This window comes from Homo sapiens, chromosome 16, assembly GCF_000001405.40.
Source record: "Homo sapiens chromosome 16, GRCh38.p14 Primary Assembly".
Lineage (NCBI taxonomy): Eukaryota > Metazoa > Chordata > Mammalia > Primates > Hominidae > Homo > Homo sapiens.
In genome coordinates, this window is record NC_000016.10 from 24,557,392 (window position 1) to 24,577,719 (window position 20,328).

Here is a 20,328-nt window from a genome sequence, read left to right on the forward strand (position 1 = left end):
TTTATCTGCTTTTATTAATGTAGTCAGTTACTTTTTTGATTACCTTCAACAGTTGTGATCTCACATACTATACAGCATAATATTAAGTGTTCTTTGGACTGCTGTTCTCTAACTTTGTTGAGCATAAGAATTTCCTACAAAAGTATGTTAAAAGGCTGGCCAGGTAGAGGGACCTTGGGCAAAAAAAAAAAAGATCCTGGTTGCTCCGCCCCCAATTTTGATTTAGAAGTTATGTGATAAGACCCTGATTCTACATTTTTAACAGGTTGTCCAAGAGATTGTGAAGTTAGGGGATCCTCAGGGCATCAATTTACAGAATTAGGTGTTCATGTTCTCAGTGAAAAAATACATACATATATAAGAACAGTTCCTCAGCTTCATGCTATAAATATTGTTGAAGTGTAGTGTAGTGAGCAGGTGGGGATGATGATGAAAATAGCTATGCCATAGAATGATATTGAAAAGATCTTGTGTTTTTGAATATGTACTTCAGCAAATAGTGTTTTCGTTCACAGATAAGAATGTTTTCCTAAACTCCCAACCCTGCTCACTTCCTCAACTTCACCCCCATCTATTTTTTATCAGTCACCATCCTGTGTTTTTGTGGTTCATCATTGAACAGTCTGTTGTTATGCTGTTTCTAATTCAGAGACATTTCATAGATGTTTCCAAATAACTTTAGCTTGAAATTGATTATTTTTACAGACACAATTAAGAGCAGACCGCTTCATCTATATTATGTAAAATTTTTAAGTAAAAATTTGTGTTGGAAAAATTAGTATCACCTGTAAACCCTAACTAATAATTAACTTCATTGCTTTTGAATGCTGAAATACAAATGCCCAATTGTGCCAGACACACAGCAAATACTGGGGAAAGATGGGAATCTAAATATTTTAAATGAAACTTTCACCCTCTTCACTAACACCACTGATAAGCAACTCAGACTCTTCTTCTGTTTCTTTTTCTATCCTCTGTTCTCCTCTTTTTTTCTTTTTTTTTTTTTTCTTTTTTCTCTCTTTTGGGCAGTGGGAGACTCCTCTTTCACAAATTGGGAACAATGGGGCATAAGCAAATTGATACTTATTTCTGGAATCGTGGTGATGTCTATGGAGCAACTGCAACACAAATAACACACCTAAGGTACCCTACTCTGTACAGCCGAGATTCTTTCATTTTCAGCATTGAGATAAACACACTCTGTTCCTGAATGAAATAGAAAGGGTTTCTCTAGGGATTCCTGTGTTTTGCAAATTTGCCTGATTACAGAGAAGATGGGGGTGTAGAAGCAGTGGTGACAAGTCTGAGAATAGCTATTTTTATTTTTTAATACTATATTTAATGCCCAACATTTCTGCAAAATGCATTTCTACAAAAAACTGGACCTAGAATGTCTAATGAGGTGTTACTTTACATTTTTGTAACACCGATTTTGATCATTTAAGTCACTAATGCTTCTTAATTGACTATAAATTGATTAACCTCTCTTAAAATACTAATAAGTAGATCATGGGTTTTGGTATCTCATTTTATTAATTATTTGTGTGGTAATGACATAATATTTCCCTTGAACTATCTTTCCTTAATTGTATAATGTCAGTACTAATTTTAATTTCCCGTCTTGTGGCATTTACTCCAATACCTTCACAGGTTTGAGAGACTTTTGGGTTATGGAGAAGGGGAGATTTTTTGGGATTTTTAATTTTAATTTTCATTTTTATTTTTTTCAAGAAACTTGATAGAGTAGGAAAAATTGTGATTATGGTGTTGTCTAAATTCAAGTCTTGTCTTTGTCACTTAAATAGAACTTTATGGCACAGAACATTTCGCTTTATTTCTGGCCCTCAGTTCTTAAGAGTGACGGGTTCTAAGATCCTTTTATTGTTTTTGTAGCATTTCTTTGCTTCTTTTTGTTATGCTTGTTTAGACTTTTGTGTCTTTGTTTAGGGTTAGGTTGTACATAATTACTCCCTTATTTTAGAAGATATGGTGCTTGTCTAAACTAATTTGGCATTGCGCTGAATTATGTGTTCCCATTATGTTATAGTAGAACATGTAGCATGAGTACTCTGCCTTCTTAACAATGGTAAAACATGAAAACTTTCTTTTACAGAGAAGCATATGCAATTGGGAAGAAAGAGAAACCTCCCTTCTTACCAGAGGAGCCATCTTCTTCCTCAGAAGAAGATGATCCTATCCCAGATGAATTGTTGTGTCTCATCTGCAAGGATATTATGACTGATGCTGTTGTGATTCCCTGCTGTGGAAACAGTTACTGTGATGAATGTAAGAAGTGCTGAATCTTGGAAGATGTATATTTTAGAATATTTGTATTTACTTGGAATGGCTCTTCCCAACCTCATATGTTTTAATAATAAAATAAATAATGTTGATGACAAGTGTTGATCAATGAGCATTAAGTAGTGAGAAGTCTGTTTTTCTTGCTGTATCTTTTTTAAACAATAACCTGTTTGTCCTTTTAAATTCTAGAATTGACTTCTGTACCTTCATCAGGGTGACTATACTGAGGTGTTTTTCTTAATATAGACTTTTTGTTTCCTGTATGTTTTAAGTGGTATCCAGAATTTTAAAACTTTTTTGGGCCTTAGATAATTCTGGAAATATTTTTAAGTGGTATCTAAATCTTTTTCCTGGATTGTGAATAGCTTATCCTAATATTTCTAAGTGTATTAACACCTGATTCCTGTAGACAGTTTTTGTTTTTTTTTTTTTTTTTTGAGACAGAGTCTCACTGTCTCCCAGGCTGGAGTGCAGTGGTGTAATCTCGGCTCACTGCATCCTCTGCCTTCTGGCTTCACACAATTCTGCCTCAGCCTCCCAAGTAGCTGGGACTGCAGGTGCCCGCCACCACACCCGGCTAATGTTTTGTATTTTTAGTAGAGACGGGGTTTCACTGTGTTAGCCAGGATGGTCTCGATCTCCTGACCTCGTGATCCGCCCACCTCGGCCTCCCCAAGTGCTGGGATTACAGGCGTGAGCCACCGCGCCCGACATCTGTAGACATATTTATTACCCAGCATTTACCATGCAGTTGTGACTTTTTAAATCACTTATATTAGCACTTAGTTGTTTCCTGCCACTTATCCTAAGTTTGTGCCTTCTTACACAGAAGAAATCAGTGTTACCTGAAAATTTGCTCAAGCCTGCTCTGGCCTTTTTCATTTTTAAAGGTAGTTTTGAAATATACAGTCCTCATACACATGGTTCTGCATCTGCAGATTCAAAACCACAGATCATAAATATTTGGGGGCAAGAAAACAGTAAAAAATAATAGTAAAGACTAATACAGATTTTAAAATAAGAGTATAACAACTATTTACATAGCATTTATATTGCAGCAGGTATTACAAGCAATCTAGAGATTATTTAAAGTATACTGGAGGATGTACATAGTATTATATGCAAATACTATGCCTTTGGGGCAGTTGAGTGACTTGAGCATCTACAGACGTTATCTTCAGAGGGTTCTGGAACCCATCCCCTTTGGATACCTGTAAATCTTTATTTTTTGACCTCTTCAGTGAAGACCAAGGTCAAGAAGAGGTTGCTAAAGACTTGTTTCAGATTATATCTTAGATTTAACATACCACTTGGTATTACTGGAGTTTTACTACATTGAAGCTTAATCTTCGTATCTGTAATTTAGTGTTGCTCCCACGTACTGTGCTGTAGGTCTCTCATTTCCTTGCCTGAATAAAAACCCCAAGTTAGCCATGTAAAATTTTTGTCTTTCTAGACTATCTTATATTTCTCTTTTGTTTTCTACAATATTCCAGTTACTAGCTAAACAAAGAATAGTCTTTGAGAAAGAGTGCTTTTGCTCTCAATTCAGACATTTGTTTAAAAAAAAAAAAAGATGGGGTGGGGGATCCTTGCTATTTTGCCCCAGGCTAGCCTTGAACTTCTAGGCTCAAGTGATTCTCCTGTCCCAGCCTCCCCAGGAGTGGGGATTACAGGCACATGCCAGCACACCCAGCTGTGACTTCTTTTTAGCGTAGCATAGGTCATATAGAAAAGAGCAGAGGAGTACTGTAAGATGAGAGATTTTACTTAAGTTTCTTAATCTAAGAAATGATTAGCACGACATGCTTGGAAAACAGTAATGTAACTGAACAAATGTGGACCATCCTTTTAATTCATTTCGTAAACACTTTGAGTTCCTACTATGCTTTTATTAATATTTGAAATCTTATACATAGGTATAAGAACAGCACTCCTGGAATCAGATGAGCACACATGTCCGACGTGTCATCAAAATGATGTTTCTCCTGATGCTTTAATTGCCAATAAATTTTTACGACAGGTAACTGTCTGTATCCATTTTATGAAAAAATTCTTTTTAACTGATTTAACTGTACTTCAGTGAATACTGCATAACATTTTTCTGCATTATTATGCTTGGTATCTGTAGGCTGTAAATAACTTCAAAAATGAAACTGGCTATACAAAAAGACTACGAAAACAGTTACCTCCTCCACCACCCCCAATACCACCTCCGAGACCACTGATTCAGAGGAACCTACAACCTCTGATGAGATCTCCGATATCAAGACAACAAGATCCTCTTATGATTCCAGTGACATCTTCATCAACTCACCCAGCTCCGTCTATATCTTCATTAACTTCTAATCAGTCTTCCTTGGCCCCTCCTGTGTCTGGAAATCCGTCTTCTGCTCCAGCTCCTGTACCTGATATAACTGCAACAGTATCCATATCAGTTCATTCAGAAAAATCAGATGGACCTTTTCGGTAAGCCTGTGTGTTTTTCACTGTTAGAAACCAAATGAGGTCAATGATGTAGTGTTTTGTTGTTGGTTATCACTTTTAACAGCTTTCTTAGTGGACCACTGTGCTCAGTAATGTGGGATGACTTGTAAGAAGTGACTTAGTCTTATTGGGGGAAGAGGAAAACAAACGTGATTGATTTGGCAAATGAGGATTAAGCATCCTGAGGTCAAATACTACACAGGTTGCCAACCAGCCCCTATTAAACGTTGAATGTTCCATATACCATAACAGCTCTGAACTTAACAGAGGTGGGAGAATTCACTTGTGATCATAATGATAGTTTTGGATAGGAGTAGTTTTGAGTAGAACTAAGAACAGTTTAGATAGGTAGAGAAGAGGGGGTAAAAACACAGGTAAGTAGAGAAGTCAGGAATAGTGATTGTTTTGGAGCATAATTATTATGTAGGAGAATAGTGAAAACTCACAGCCTACCACTTCAGAAATGAGACTTTTGTCCATGTAGTTTAATGTCTCATAAATTCTTTAAAAAAAAAAAAAAAAGGTGTAAGAGGCCCATTTCAGACACACTGAAGCAAAATCTTTAGGATGAGACCTTTACATTTACATTTAAGAAATTCCACTGATCTGGTGGAATTTATTTGGTTGATAGTGGAAATAGGCCCAGAGAGTTCTATGGCTGACCCAAGATTATCCTTTCAGTTTAGTGGTAGAACTAGAGCTAAAACTTAACTCTTAATCCTAGGGGGATTTTTGTCTTCATAGGCCAGACTTTGATTTTAAGTTTTACTATTCTTGCAACTGATTTCTGTCATAACTGTAGTATCTTCTTAAGGAGGTCCTTCATTTTACTTTTCCACTTACTACATATAGAGAACTCTTCAAAGTTTCAGCCTTCTCTCACTTTCCTCAGAAGTATTCATCATCTTTGACTTAACTCATCTTAACTGCAGGTGATGGGTAAACAGCAGCAAACTTTTTTACTCTTAATTGTCCATTTCTGATAATTTTTAATGTATTATAATTTATGTTTTTTAAAGGGATTCTGATAATAAAATATTGCCAGCTGCAGCTCTTGCATCAGAGCACTCAAAGGGAACCTCCTCAATTGCAATTACCGCTCTTATGGAAGAGAAGGTAAATTTTACTGGTGCTTTAATTTGGGATTTTTTTTACAGCAGGGTTTTGTTTTTCTGGCTTTGTTCTTACCTCTTTTTTTTTTTTTTTTTTAACTATTTCTGTTTATTTGTGGTTGTTTCTAAAGGGTTACCAGGTGCCTGTTCTTGGAACCCCATCTTTGCTTGGACAGTCATTATTGCATGGACAGTTGATCCCCACAACTGGTGAGTAAGATCACTTTGGTTTAGACCTTTTTCCCTTTAAAAAATAATTTTAGCTTGATTTAATGTGCAATTTTGTATTTACCTACTGCTTTTATTTTTTGTTTCTAGGTCCAGTAAGAATAAATACTGCTCGTCCAGGTGGTGGTCGACCAGGCTGGGAACAGTGAGTAGATGTTTACAATAATCTTCAGATGATTGCCTGCAAACTAGATAATGGAAGGTCCAAACTAGGCAAACTAGATAATGGAAGGTCCAAACTAGGCAGCGGGTCGCTGCTCTTTATTGTAAACTTTCATGTGCCAGATTAACATTTTTTATGTAAAATGTCAAAATTCAAGCTTATATGAGGGTTTTTTTTAAATGAGCAAATCTTTTCTAAAATACAAAATTTTAAAAGTTTTTTTCTACTTTCATATCCAACAAATGGGGATCTTGACAGGACTTCAGTTTAATGAATAGATAAGAATTACTTGAAAAGTTATTTTAAATATGGTGGCAGTTATTTTCCTAGTAGGTTTAACTTTTTCTACCCTTAATTTGGATGATCAAAGTTTGATTTGAGTACATAAATACATAATAAGATTAACGTCTACCAAACAAAAATTTTTTGTCTGAAATCGAGTTGTTCTTGCCACCCTAAAATACAAAGAACTTTGATTTTCTCTGTGGGATATTTTATGGCATTAAAAATCAGCAGACTTACTTAATGTATTTTTAGTTATATAATTATTTCTGTTTATATAATCCGATTGAAAATTGATATATTCTTAAAAGTATGAGTTACTAGCAGGATGTATCAGTAGAAGGAACATAGGATTTAGAAACAGGTAGACTTGGGTTTGAATCCCATCTCCTTCATTTCCTAGCTGCATGACAGTGGTCTTGTGGTTTTACTCCCTAACATCCATTTCCTCGTTTGGATTTGGAATGACACTACCTACCTTAACATGTAAAATGACTTCATTGTGCCCAGCAGACAAAAGGGCTCTTTTCCTTGTATATAACAATAAGTTCACAGAGTAATTTATAGAGTGCTAATTAAAATATAATATTACATAAAGTAATCTATTTTGAGGTCTAGTTATTGTTATGATACAGTTAATTGGTGGGGGAAAGTTAGTTTTAAGTAAATATAATATTTACTCAGCTCTGTATCCGAAACAAATTTAAGAACTGGGGAGTAGGAAAAAGTTTTCAGAGTAGTTAAAATTGGTGTCTTAACAGCTATGCATGGAAAGGTCATGTATTATACCCATGGAGAAATACTTGAGCCTATTTTTTTTTCTCCCACACAGTTCCAACAAACTTGGCTATCTGGTTTCTCCACCACAACAAATTAGAAGAGGGGAGAGGAGCTGCTACAGGTAGGCATGCTAAAAATCTTGGAAAATAATCATCTTATTTTTTATATATATATCTCACCAAAGAAATTAAAGCACAGCAGTGGCAGGAAGGAAGGGGGTCATTTGTTTGTATTGTGCTTATCCCTCTTAAGTCCTGGGTAGTTGTCCTTAAAGAGGGCTAGAAAAGAATAAATTATATATAGTATCTTAAATGATGGTTTTTAAGACATTTTTAATATTCCTTCCCAGTGATTACTTTCTCCCTGTCAGCAAACAGCAGAGTATTGGCTTGCATTTACCCTCTTGGAAGTAGAAGAAAGTCAGGGGTCAGACAATATCTAAGATACCAGTTTAATTTAAGATTAAAGTTAACAAGCTCAGCTCCCAACTGTGAACAAGAATTGCAACTATTTCTCTTCTAGACCCCACTGTCCCAATCATCTCCCACCGTCTCTTTTCCAAAAGAAGAGACAGGAGATTGTTAGAGGCTCCTGCCCTAGTGGGCGGGTACAAGCAATATTAATCTAAGAAGTAAGAATCTTACTGTCTAGGTCAGGGGTCCCCAACCCTGGGCCACAGACCAGTATCCATCCTTGGCCTGTTAGGAACTGGGCAACACAGCAGGAGGTGAACAGCAGCTGAGCGAGCATTACCACCTGAGCTCCACCTCTTGTCAGATCAGCAGTGGCATTAAGATTCTCATAGGAGCATGAACCCTGTTGTGAACTGCGTGTGCAAAGGATCTGGGTTGCACGCTTCTTAGGAGAATCTAATGCCTGATCATCTAAGGTGGAACAGTTTTTACCCCCCTGCCCCCGTCCATGGAAAAATTGTCTTCCACAAAACAGCTCCCTGGTGCCAAAACGGTTGAGAACTGCTAGTCTAGGTCATAATCACCACCAGGATAAAGGAGCCTCCAAAACTTCATAACAAGAGTTTTGGCCAGGCATAATGGCTCATGCTGGTAATTTTAGAGCTTTGGGAGGCTGATGGGGGAGGATTGCTTGAGGCCTGAAGTTCAAGATTAGCCTGGGCAACATAGCAAGACTCTGTCTCTACCAAAAAAATAAAATAACCAGACATGGTGGCATGCACCTGTGGTCCCAGCTACCTGGGAGGCTGAGGCAGGAGGATCACTTGAGCTTAGGAAGTCAAGGCTGCAGTGAGCTATAACCACATCACTGCACTTTAGCCTAGGGGACAGAGTGAGACCCTGTCTCCAAAAAGAAGGAAATTCGGGATATCTTCTAGTGCTTCATTGCTAAACTTATGAAAGTTTACTATGTCATTACTGGATCACATTTTAAAAGAAGGTAATAGTTATTCATGGCTCACTGAAAAGATGCTTAAAATCTAAACCCCTACTGTTGCTGTTGTGTACCAATTATTTATAATTTAAAGCACCTCTAGTTTAACAGAAGTAACCAGTTCTGTTTGGTGAGGCACAAATTAGAAACTTAGCCAACACTGTTATTTTTACTTAAGCTTTTGAGAGAAAGCGTTGATATTTTCATTGTTAATTATAGAAGTTAAAACTAGAATTTATTCTGCTTTGTATGATCTTTACCCACTTCCTCCCTCAAAAAAGAGGTTACAGGAGTTGGTTTTCCTTCATTTAAACTTTTGGGGCCAGGTGTGGTGGCTCTCACCTGTAACCCCAGCACTTTGTGCAGATCACCTGAGGTCAGGAGTTTGAGAACAGCCTGCCCAACATGGTGAAACCCTGTCTCTCCTAAAAATACAAAAATTAGCTGGGCATGGTGGCACACGTCTCTAGTCCCAGCTACTTGGGAAGCTGAGGCAGGAGAATTCGCTTGAACCCAGGAGGTGGAGGTTGCAGTGAGCCAAGATTACACCACTGTAGTCCAGCCTGGACGACAGAGTGAGACTCTGTCTCAAAAAATAAAAAATAAATGAATAAGTAAGCTTTTGGGGAGAGCTAGGTCATAGCAGCATTAACCTGTCAGTGCCTTCAAAAGACAGTTTAGGAAGTAACAGGTAGTAATTAGTGGAGTGATAATCAGTCTGAACTTCATAAAAGAGAACTTTTAAATACAATATTTCCGTGTAGAGAAGGTCCTATAAACTTGCATCATCTCAGTCGAGACATGGCCTTAAAAATTATGTTGTAGAGTTATTTTTACAAATAAATTGTACTAATGTTGCTACACTAGTTGAATAGTTGGTTCTATTCCACTGTTTTTAAGTTTGAAAATAATTATGGATAGAAGAGATAAGCTTACTTGTCTCAGATGACTTTAGTTTGAAGAAGTAATATCTTGGAATTTATTTTTCCAGAAGTATAAACCGTGGGCGACACCACAGCGAAAGATCACAGAGGACTCAAGGCCCGTCACTACCAGCAACTCCAGTCTTTGTACCTGTTCCACCACCTCCTTTGTATCCGCCTCCTCCCCATACACTTCCTCTCCCTCCGGGTGTTCCTCCTCCACAGTTTTCTCCTCAGTTTCCTCCTGGCCAGCCACCACCCGCTGGGTATAGTGTCCCTCCTCCAGGGTTTCCTCCAGCTCCTGCCAATTTATCAACACCTTGGGTATCATCAGGAGTGCAGACAGCTCATTCAAATACCATCCCAACAACACAAGCACCACCTTTGTCCAGGGAAGAATTCTATAGAGAGCAGCGACGACTAAAAGAAGAGTATGTATTCTAATTTGAAATTATTATACACTTTTTTCATTTTCTGATAATAACATTAAATAGGTGTCTGGAAACGTTTTCCAGTGTTTCCAGTTAGTATGAGAAATTCACCTAAAATTTAAACCAAAGCCATACAAGCAACTTCTCAGGGATTCCTAGTTTATAGTTTTAAAGTGGAAAACTAATGGCAATTTCATTCATTTCATTCATGATCTAATTACATTTGTCTTGTTAGTTTTCTTAAATGGTTTTTGTTAACTTTCACTCTTTAACTTTATTTTACTAGGGAAAAGAAAAAGTCCAAGCTAGATGAGTTTACAAATGATTTTGCTAAGGAATTGATGGAATACAAAAAGATTCAAAAGGAGCGTAGGCGCTCATTTTCCAGGTTAGTGTTTTGCAAGCCTTCACAACAGAATTACAAACGGGACTTTGAATATCCAGGGATTAGCTATGGATATAAAGAACATTGCACTTAGGAATTTTTCTGATTCGGTCTAGGTGTATAGAAGTGAAGATGTAGCTTATTTCCCAATATCTGTTCATTGAAATAATGTCTCAGTGTAAATTTTATTGTGTAGAACTAACAGTTGTGGGGATTAAATTGCCCTTGTCCCTTAAAGTTATTCATAGTATCAAATAATTGGGAAATGTTTTTGGAAGGAAAGAAATAGGGGAATAGCCAAAAAACAGTTCCCAGGACCCTTTTACCATAAGGCTACAGCTTCTTGCTGGAACATTAACCTGCGTAATTATGAAGTAGTAGTAGAATACAGATCGCTTTATTGATAGAAAAAGTGAATTATAAAAATTCCCTGGAAGTTTGTTTAAAAGACTTTATTTTTTAGCCTTACACTTGAAATGTGGTTTCTTTTAAAACTAGGCTGTTGGCCAGTATAGGACAAAAAACAGACTCCTACTTCAATATTCAGATAGGAAGTGAAATTTAAAATTAATTGACATTTTGTTTAATGTTAGTTAGCTCATATAACTCACGGTACATTAATGCACTTCACTCTAATTGTTAAGACTTCACTTTTGTTTTGTAACAAGTGATTGCTCCGATTTGTGTACTTTATTCCATTCCAGTAGAGGTCACTGTGCCTCTTTAATCATCTAAGATGAAATTTGATATAAAGATAGATGAAACCGTGAGGAAAGAATGCTAGAATCTGAGAGTCTGTGTTTTATTTTGTATGTATTTCTCAACTATCAACTATTGTTTTGTTTTGTTTTTAGGTCTAAATCTCCCTATAGTGGTTCTTCGTATTCAAGAAGTTCATATACTTATTCTAAATCAAGATCTGGTTCAACACGTTCACGCTCTTATTCTCGATCATTCAGCCGCTCACATTCTCGTTCCTATTCACGGTCACCTCCATACCCCAGAAGAGGCAGAGGCAAGAGCCGCAATTACCGTTCACGGTCTAGATCTCATGGATATCATCGATCTAGGTCAAGGTCACCCCCTTACAGACGCTATCATTCACGATCAAGATCTCCTCAAGCGTTTAGGGGACAGTCTCCTAATAAACGTAATGTACCTCAAGGGGAAACAGAACGTGAATATTTTAATAGATACAGAGAAGTTCCACCACCATATGACATGAAAGCATATTATGGGAGAAGTGTTGACTTTAGAGACCCATTTGAAAAAGAACGCTACCGAGAATGGGAGAGAAAATATAGAGAGTGGTATGAAAAATATTATAAAGGTTATGCTGCTGGAGCACAGCCTAGACCCTCAGCAAATAGAGAGAACTTTTCTCCAGAGAGATTTTTGCCACTTAACATCAGGAATTCTCCCTTCACAAGAGGCCGCAGAGAAGACTATGTTGGTGGGCAAAGTCATAGAAGTCGAAACATAGGTAGCAACTATCCAGAAAAGCTTTCAGCAAGAGATGGTCACAATCAGAAGGATAATACAAAGTCAAAAGAGAAGGAGAGTGAAAACGCTCCAGGAGATGGTAAAGGAAATAAGCATAAGAAACACAGAAAAAGAAGAAAAGGGGAGGAAAGTGAGGGTTTTCTGAACCCAGAGTTATTAGAGACTTCTAGGAAATCAAGAGAACCTACAGGTGTTGAAGAAAATAAAACAGACTCATTGTTTGTTCTCCCAAGTAGAGATGATGCCACACCTGTTAGAGATGAACCAATGGATGCAGAATCAATCACTTTTAAATCAGTGTCTGAAAAAGACAAGAGAGAAAGGGATAAACCAAAAGCAAAGGGTGATAAAACCAAACGGAAGAATGATGGATCTGCTGTGTCCAAAAAAGAAAATATTGTAAAACCTGCTAAAGGACCCCAAGAAAAAGTAGATGGAGAACGTGAGAGATCTCCTCGATCTGAACCTCCAATTAAAAAAGCCAAAGAGGAGACTCCGAAGACTGACAATACTAAATCATCATCTTCCTCTCAGAAGGATGAAAAAATCACTGGAACCCCCAGAAAAGCTCACTCTAAATCAGCAAAAGAACACCAAGAAACAAAACCAGTCAAAGAGGAAAAAGTGAAGAAGGACTATTCCAAAGATGTCAAATCAGAAAAGCTAACAACTAAGGAAGAAAAGGCCAAGAAGCCTAATGAGAAAAACAAACCACTTGATAATAAGGGAGAAAAAAGAAAAAGAAAAACTGAAGAAAAAGGCGTAGATAAAGATTTTGAGTCTTCTTCAATGAAAATCTCGAAACTAGAAGTGACTGAAATAGTGAAACCATCACCAAAGCGCAAAATGGAACCTGATACTGAAAAAATGGATAGGACCCCTGAAAAGGACAAAATTTCTTTAAGTGCGCCAGCCAAAAAAATCAAACTCAACAGAGAAACTGGGAAGAAAATTGGAAGTACAGAAAATATATCAAACACAAAAGAACCCTCTGAAAAATTGGAGTCAACATCTAGCAAAGTTAAACAAGAAAAAGTCAAAGGAAAGGTCAGACGAAAAGTGACTGGAACTGAAGGATCCAGCTCAACTCTGGTGGATTACACCAGGTAGCTGAGTGTAGGGGGTGGGTGTGGAACTTTGTTGGGAGAAGGATTTTCTTCAGTTTTATCCATGCTTGTGCTTTTTATATTAATTATGAATGCTGATCTAGGGAAGTAGGCTGGTTTTATGTAGTCTTTTGTTGTCTTTGAAGAAGGGAATTGCCAAAGACAAGGTTGTAAATAGATTTTGGGGGTGAGCCACATTTGTGTTGATACAATCATAATCTTAAATTGTGTGTCTTCCTTAGGGCAGAATAAGTTTTTTGTTTTTTTTAATGTTAAAAGGACATTTGTGTTTAAGTTAGCATTTTTATATTTATCAGTGTTTTATAATTAATAGTAAATTCTTCATTAATTAAAAATATTTTGTTATTCTTTTTAGTACGAGCTCAACTGGAGGCAGTCCTGTGCGGAAATCTGAAGAAAAAACAGATACAAAGCGAACTGTGATTAAAACGATGGAAGAATATAATAATGACAATACCGCGCCAGCTGAAGATGTTATCATTATGATTCAGGTTCCTCAATCCAAATGGGATAAAGATGACTTTGAATCTGAAGAAGAAGATGTTAAATCCACACAGCCTATATCAAGTGTAGGAAAACCTGCTAGTGTTATAAAAAATGTTAGTACAAAGCCATCAAATATAGTCAAGTATCCTGAGAAAGAAAGTGAGCCATCCGAGAAAATTCAGAAATTCACCAAGGACGTGAGCCATGAAATCATACAACATGAGGTTAAAAGTTCAAAAAACTCTGCATCTAGTGAAAAAGGGAAAACCAAAGATCGAGATTATTCAGTGTTGGAAAAGGAGAACCCTGAAAAGAGGAAGAACAGCACTCAGCCAGAGAAAGAGAGTAATTTGGACCGTCTGAATGAACAAGGAAATTTTAAAAGTCTGTCTCAATCTTCCAAAGAGGCTAGAACGTCAGATAAACATGATTCCACTCGTGCTTCCTCAAATAAAGACTTCACTCCCAATAGAGACAAAAAAACTGACTATGACACCAGAGAGTATTCAAGTTCCAAACGTAGAGATGAAAAGAATGAATTAACAAGACGAAAAGACTCTCCTTCTCGGAATAAAGATTCTGCATCTGGACAGAAAAATAAACCAAGGGAAGAGAGAGATTTGCCTAAAAAAGGAACAGGAGATTCCAAAAAAAGTAATTCTAGTCCCTCAAGAGACAGAAAACCTCATGATCACAAAGCCACTTATGATACTAAACGGCCAAATGAAGAGACAAAATCTGTAGATAAAAATCCTTGTAAGGATCGTGAGAAGCATGTATTAGAAGCAAGGAACAATAAAGAGTCAAGTGGCAATAAACTACTTTATATACTTAACCCACCAGAGACACAGGTTGAAAAAGAGCAAATTACTGGGCAAATTGACAAGAGTACTGTCAAGCCTAAACCCCAGTTAAGTCATTCCTCTAGACTTTCCTCTGACTTAACTAGAGAAACTGATGAAGCTGCTTTTGAACCAGACTATAATGAAAGTGACAGTGAAAGTAATGTTTCTGTAAAAGAAGAGGAATCTTCAGGAAACATTTCTAAGGACCTGAAAGATAAAATAGTGGAGAAAGCAAAAGAGAGCCTGGACACAGCAGCAGTTGTCCAGGTGGGCATAAGCAGGAATCAGAGCCACAGCAGCCCCAGCGTCAGCCCCAGCAGAAGCCACAGTCCTTCTGGAAGCCAGACCCGAAGCCACAGTAGCAGTGCCAGCTCAGCAGAAAGTCAGGACAGCAAGAAGAAGAAGAAAAAGAAGGAAAAGAAAAAACACAAGAAACATAAAAAGCATAAGAAGCATAAGAAACATGCAGGCACTGAAGTGGAATTGGAAAAAAGCCAAAAACACAAACACAAGAAAAAGAAGTCAAAGAAGAACAAAGATAAAGAGAAGGAGAAGGAGAAAGATGACCAAAAAGTGAAATCTGTCACTGTGTAAAAAGACAGATTTTTTAAATTGACTTAATTACTAAGTCATCTGTATTAAATTTTGTTATAATGTAAAGAGATTCAAGCCTTGTAAATAATGACATGGAAGACCCTGTGCTGCACTTAAAATATTGCTGCTTGATTATTTGATTTTTACATCAGAGCTTTATAACACGAACTTTTGTACAGAATTGTGAGTTGTGACCATGTAACATGAGAGGTTTTGCTAGGGCCTATTATTTTTAACCACCATTAATTAGTTGGGGTGGAGTTTACTGTAATGTGAAATTTTCACATTTGAATTTTTTAATTGCCTGGCAAAAGCTGATATAAGTTCTAAAATATCAGCAGAATGATTTGCTGAATTCATTACAACCCTGTTATGTCACTTTTTGATTACAATAAAAGTTTTCAGTAAACTTTTCAAATGTTGAGTATTTGCATTATTTACAGAAAGTAGTGCCATATCTGTATACTTAACCCACCAGATGCAGGTTGTATGTGTGTCTCCATTTTCCTATTTTAAAATTCTTAGTTTTTAATACAAGCTGAACTGAATATACAGAATTCTAAATTAAACATGGAAGATACATTTCATAGGTGGGCAGGTGGTAGAGGCCAGAAATGAATCAGGATTAATTGGAGATGTGGTTAAATAAATCTAGGAGAGTCTTGAATTACATAGAAATTCGAAGTTTGAACTTTCAAAATGGTTTGGATTTGAATATTAGAGATGCAGAATTGTGACTCGTTTATGGCCACGTATTTTTCTGGAAACCCTGATAAATAAGTATTAAATTCCTTGATAAAGGAGAATGCAGCTAAACCAGTGAGTGCTTGTGGCCTACCCAATCTGCCCAGTTGACAAGCAAGCGGTCATTACTTACGATGAGTTTCCTTTATTGCTGTGGTTCGGGAAGTGTACCTGGGGACAGTGAAAAGGTACTGAAAGGATGTGGGGAATGAGGGAGAGTAGGAATGGCACTTTAGAAACATAGTGGTATAAGTAGGGATTGAGATAATCTTTTTTTTTCTTATTTGAGATGGAGTCTCACTTTTTTTTTTTTTTTTTAATTGATGATTCTTGGGTGTTTCTCGCAGAGGGGGATTTGGCAGGATCGTAGGACAATAGTGGAGGGAAGGTCAGCAGATAAACAAGTGAACAAAGGTCTCTGGTTTTCCTAGGCAGAGGACCCTGCGGCCTTCCGCAGTGTTTGTGTCCCTGGGTACTTGAGATTAGGGAGTGGTGATGACTCTTAACGAGCATGCTGCCTTCAAGCATCTGTTTAACAAAGCACATCTTGCTCCGCCCTTAATCCATTTAACCCTGAGTGGACACAGCACATGTTTCAGAGAGCACAGGGTTGGGGGCAAGGTCATAGATCAACAGCATCCCAAGGCAGAAGAATCTTAGTACAGAACAAAATGGAGTCTCCTATGTCTACTTCTTTCTACACAGACACAGCAACAATCTGATTTCTCTATCTTTTCCCCACATTTCCCCCTTTTCTATTCCACAAAACCGCCGTCATCATCATGGCCCATTCTCAAGGAGCTGTTGGGTACACCTCCCAGACGGGGTGGCGGCCGGGCGGAGGGGCTCCTCACTTCCCAGAAGGGGCGGCCGGGCAGAGGCACCCCCCCACCTCCCGGACGGGGCGGCTGGCCGGGCGGGGGCTGCCCCCCACCTCCCTCCCGGATGGGGCGGCTGCCGGGCGGAGACGCTCCTCACTTCCCAGACGGGGTGGCTGCCGGGCAGAGGGGCTCCTCACTTCTCAGACGGGGCGGCTGCCGGGCGGAGGGGCTCCTCACTTCTCAGACGGGGCGGCTGCCGGGCGGAGGGGCTCCTCACTTCTCAGACGGGGCGGCTGCCGGGCGGAGAGGGGCTCCTCACTTCTCAGACGGGGCGGCTGCCGGGCGGAGGGGCTCCTCACTTCTCAGACGGGGCGGCTGCCGGGCGGAGGGGCTCCTCACTTCTCAGATGGGGCGGCTGCCGGGCGGAGGGGCTTCTCACTTCTCAGATGGGGCGGCTGCCGGGCGGAGGGGCTCCTCACTTCTCAGACGGGGCGGCTGCCGGGCGGAGGGGCTCCTCACTTCTCAGATGGGGCGGCTGCCGGGCGGAGGGGCTTCTCACTTCTCAGATGGGGCGGCTGCCGGGCGGAGGGGCTCCTCACTTCTCAGACGGGGCAGCCGGGCAGAGACGCTCCTCACCTCCCAGACGGGGTCACGGCCGGGCAGAGGCGCTTCTCACATCCCAGACGGGGCGGCAGAGCAGAGGCGGTCCCCACATCTCAGACGATGGGCCACTGGGCAGAGACGCTCGTCACTTCCTAGACGGGATGGCGGCCGGGCAGAGACGCTCCTCACCTCCCAGACGGGGTCACGGCTGGGCAGAGGCGCTCCTCAAATCCCAGATGGGGCGGCGGAGCAGAGGCACTCCCCACATCTCAGACGATGGGCCACCGGGCAGAGACGCTCGTCACTTCCTAGACGGGATGGCGGCCGGGCAGAGACGCTCCTCACCTCCCAGACGGGGTCACGGCCGGGCAGAGGCGCTCCTCACATCCCAGATGGGGCGGCGGAGCAGAGGCACTCCCCACATCTCAGACGATGGGCCACCGGGCAGAGACGCTCGTCACTTCCTAGACGGGATGGCGGCCGGAAAGAGACGCTCCTCACCTCCCAGACGGGGTTGCAGCTGGGCAGAGGCGCTCCTCACATCCCAGACGGGGCGGCGGGGCAGAGGCGCTCCCCACATCTCAGACGATGGGTGGCCAGGCAGAGACGCTCCTCACTTCCTAGACAGGATGGCGGCCGGGAAGAGGCGCTCCTCACTTCCCAGACTGGGCAGCTGGACAGAGGGGCTCCTCACATCCCAGAGGATGGGTGGCCAGGCAGAGACGCTCCTCACTTCCCAGACAGGGTGGCGGCCGGGCACAGGCTGCAATCTCGGCACTTTGGGAGGCCAAGGCAGGCGGCTGGGAGGTGGAGGTTGTAGCTAGCTGAGATCACACCACTGCACTCCAGCCTGGGCAACATTGAGCACTGAGTGAACGAGACTCCGTCTGCAATCCCGGCACCTCGGGAGGCCGAGGCGGGCAGATCACTCACGGTTAGGAGCTGGAGACCAGCCCGGCCAACACAGCGAAACCCCGTCTCCACCAAAAAAATACGAAAACCAGTCAGGCGTGGTGGTGTGCGCCTGCAATCGCAGGCACTCGGCAGGCTGAGGCGGGAGAATCAGGCAGGGAGGTTGCAGTGAGCCGAGATGGCAGCAGTACAGTCCAGCTTTGGCTCGGCATCAGAGGGAGACCGTGGAAAGAGAGGGAGAGGGAGGAGGGAGAGAGGGAGGAGAGGGAGGAGAGGGAGAGGGAGGAGGGGGAGGGAGGAGGGGGAGAGGGAGGAGAGGGAGAGGGAGGGGGAGGGAGGAGGGGGAGAGGGAGGAGAGGGAGAGGGAGGAGAGGGAGGAGGGGGAGAGGGAGGAGAGGGAGAGGGAGGAGGGGAGAGGGGGGAGAGGGAGAGGGAGAGAGAGGGAGAGGGAGAGCCGGAGTCTCACTCTTACCCAGGCAGGAGTGCAGTGGCATGATCTCGGCTCACTGCAACCTCTGCCTCCTGGGTTCAAGTGGATTCTCCTGCCTCCGCATCCCAAATAGCTGGGGTTACAGGTGCCGGCCACCACACCCAGCTAGTTTTTGTATTTTCAGTAGAGACAGGGTTTCACCATGTTGGCCAGGCTCATCTTGAACTCCTGACCTCGGGTGATCTGCCTGCCTCGGCCTCCCAAAGTGCTGGCATTATAGGTGTGAGTCACTGCGCCAGCCAGTCATCGATTTTAAGTGGTATACAGACATACTTTTTTTAAATGTGTTTTTTAAGTGCAATACTTACTAAGTGATTTTAAAATTTTAGAATGTTATATTTCTATAGGTGACAGGCAAGTACTGTAAAGATCATGAAAGCTGTTCAGAACTGAATTAGGGAAATGCTGCCTCTGAATCAAATTAACTTTCTTCTGAAGGGCCCTCCTTTCGTTGTGATGCTTAGATTACATTTGTTTATTCCCAGACACCCCTGTTGCACGGGATGGGATGTCTGGCCTAACCATTCCAACTCTACCCCACCCCACACACAACACACACTGCCATTTTGACTTTAAAATAATCCAGCTAGATTTACTGTTAATTCTTGCTAATCTGGACCAAAAATCTGGATTAGATCTCTCACGTTCATAGGATCTGGCACCCAGAACTTTTTTTATCATACATTCCATCATCCGAGGTCAGTTTCATTACCTAAGCTCGTTGTTCCTTAAGCTAAACTGACCTTTTCTTTAAGTGCAGTCCACTCCTATGATAATTTTCTAGTTACTCAGCACCTGTGGCAATTCCTCTCTTGGAGAAACACTGGAGTTAAGCTCTAATGTTTCATCCACGACTTGGTCTTCCAGCTCCATCCTTTGTTGGTCTTATTTGGGGCTGAAGTTTCAACTCATCCCCCAGTCTCTCTTCTTTCTACTCTTTCCCTTCACTAGTATCCTATGCCCTGTTGTTTCAGCCACACGCTAACATGCCCATAACCTGCTGCTCCTTACTCACCTTGCTGCACCCAAACAGCTAACCTTCAAACCCGGATTAAGGTGCTGAACACTGCTTAACAAAACTAGTCTTTGAAGACAATTTAAGAAGTAACTTATTTGCAAGGCACTGTGCCAGGTGCTTGGACTTCATTTAATCCTTAAAAATTCCAGTTGTACTTGATGTCTTGTGTTAAGCAGGAAAGTCCACTGCCAGTGAAGGCTCAGTCCAGCCTTGGATATTCAAGCCAGCTCCTAACTAATCCAACTCGCCCCTACTATGTGGAAGAGTAAGCCAGCAAGTAAGACTCCACCTCTTGCAGATCCCCAAAAAACCATGTCATGTCTCCCTATCTTTTGCACTCAGCTGTTTCATCTGGCTGGAATTTCCTTCCTCCTTTGCCTGCTTCATAATTTCCTGCTCATTGTTCAAGAGTTAGGTTGCTGTTACCAGGCGCGGTGGCTCACGCCTGTAATCCCAGCGCTTTGGGAGGCCGAGGCGGGCGGATCATGAGGTCAGGAGATCGAGACCATCCTGGCTAACACGAAGAAACCCCGTCTCTACTAAAAATACAAAAATTAGCCGGGTGTGGTGGTGGGCGCCTGTAGTCCCAGCTACTCGGGAGGCAGGAGAATGGCATGAACCAGGGAGGCAGAGCTTGCAGTGAGCTGAGATCGCGCCACTGCACTCCAGCCTGGGTGACAGAGCGA

At 41.2% G+C, this 20,328-nt stretch overlaps 1 protein-coding gene across 2 annotated transcripts in view, besides 1 other annotated feature; it reads left to right on the forward strand.

The window, feature by feature from the left end:
* RBBP6 (RB binding protein 6, ubiquitin ligase) overlaps window positions 1-15,472 on the forward strand; it is a 33,298-nt gene extending 17,826 nt beyond the window's left edge. The window contains exons 8-18 of one of the 2 annotated variants that reach the window (NM_006910.5): window positions 2,114-2,286; window positions 4,221-4,324; window positions 4,433-4,770; window positions 5,808-5,904; window positions 6,032-6,110; window positions 6,219-6,273; window positions 7,406-7,474; window positions 9,752-10,114; window positions 10,401-10,502; window positions 11,354-13,108; window positions 13,485-15,472. In NM_006910.5, the coding sequence (NP_008841.2) occupies window positions 2,114-2,286; window positions 4,221-4,324; window positions 4,433-4,770; window positions 5,808-5,904; window positions 6,032-6,110; window positions 6,219-6,273; window positions 7,406-7,474; window positions 9,752-10,114; window positions 10,401-10,502; window positions 11,354-13,108; window positions 13,485-15,054 (4,705 nt within the window). In that variant the 3' untranslated portion in view covers window positions 15,055-15,472. The remainder of the gene's footprint in view (window positions 1-2,113; window positions 2,287-4,220; window positions 4,325-4,432; window positions 4,771-5,807; window positions 5,905-6,031; window positions 6,111-6,218; window positions 6,274-7,405; window positions 7,475-9,751; window positions 10,115-10,400; window positions 10,503-11,353; window positions 13,109-13,484) is intronic. The other variant, NM_018703.4, reaches the window with a different exon arrangement.
* Window positions 18,025-18,684: an enhancer, noted in NCBI's record as "H3K27ac hESC enhancer chr16:24586737-24587396 (GRCh37/hg19 assembly coordinates)". NCBI's record gives its function as "activates a minimal SCP1, AML or CMV promoter by ChIP-STARR-seq in naive H9 embryonic stem cells {active_cell/tissue: H9 hESC(naive)}" and the evidence as "EXISTENCE:reporter gene assay evidence [ECO:0000049][PMID:30033119]".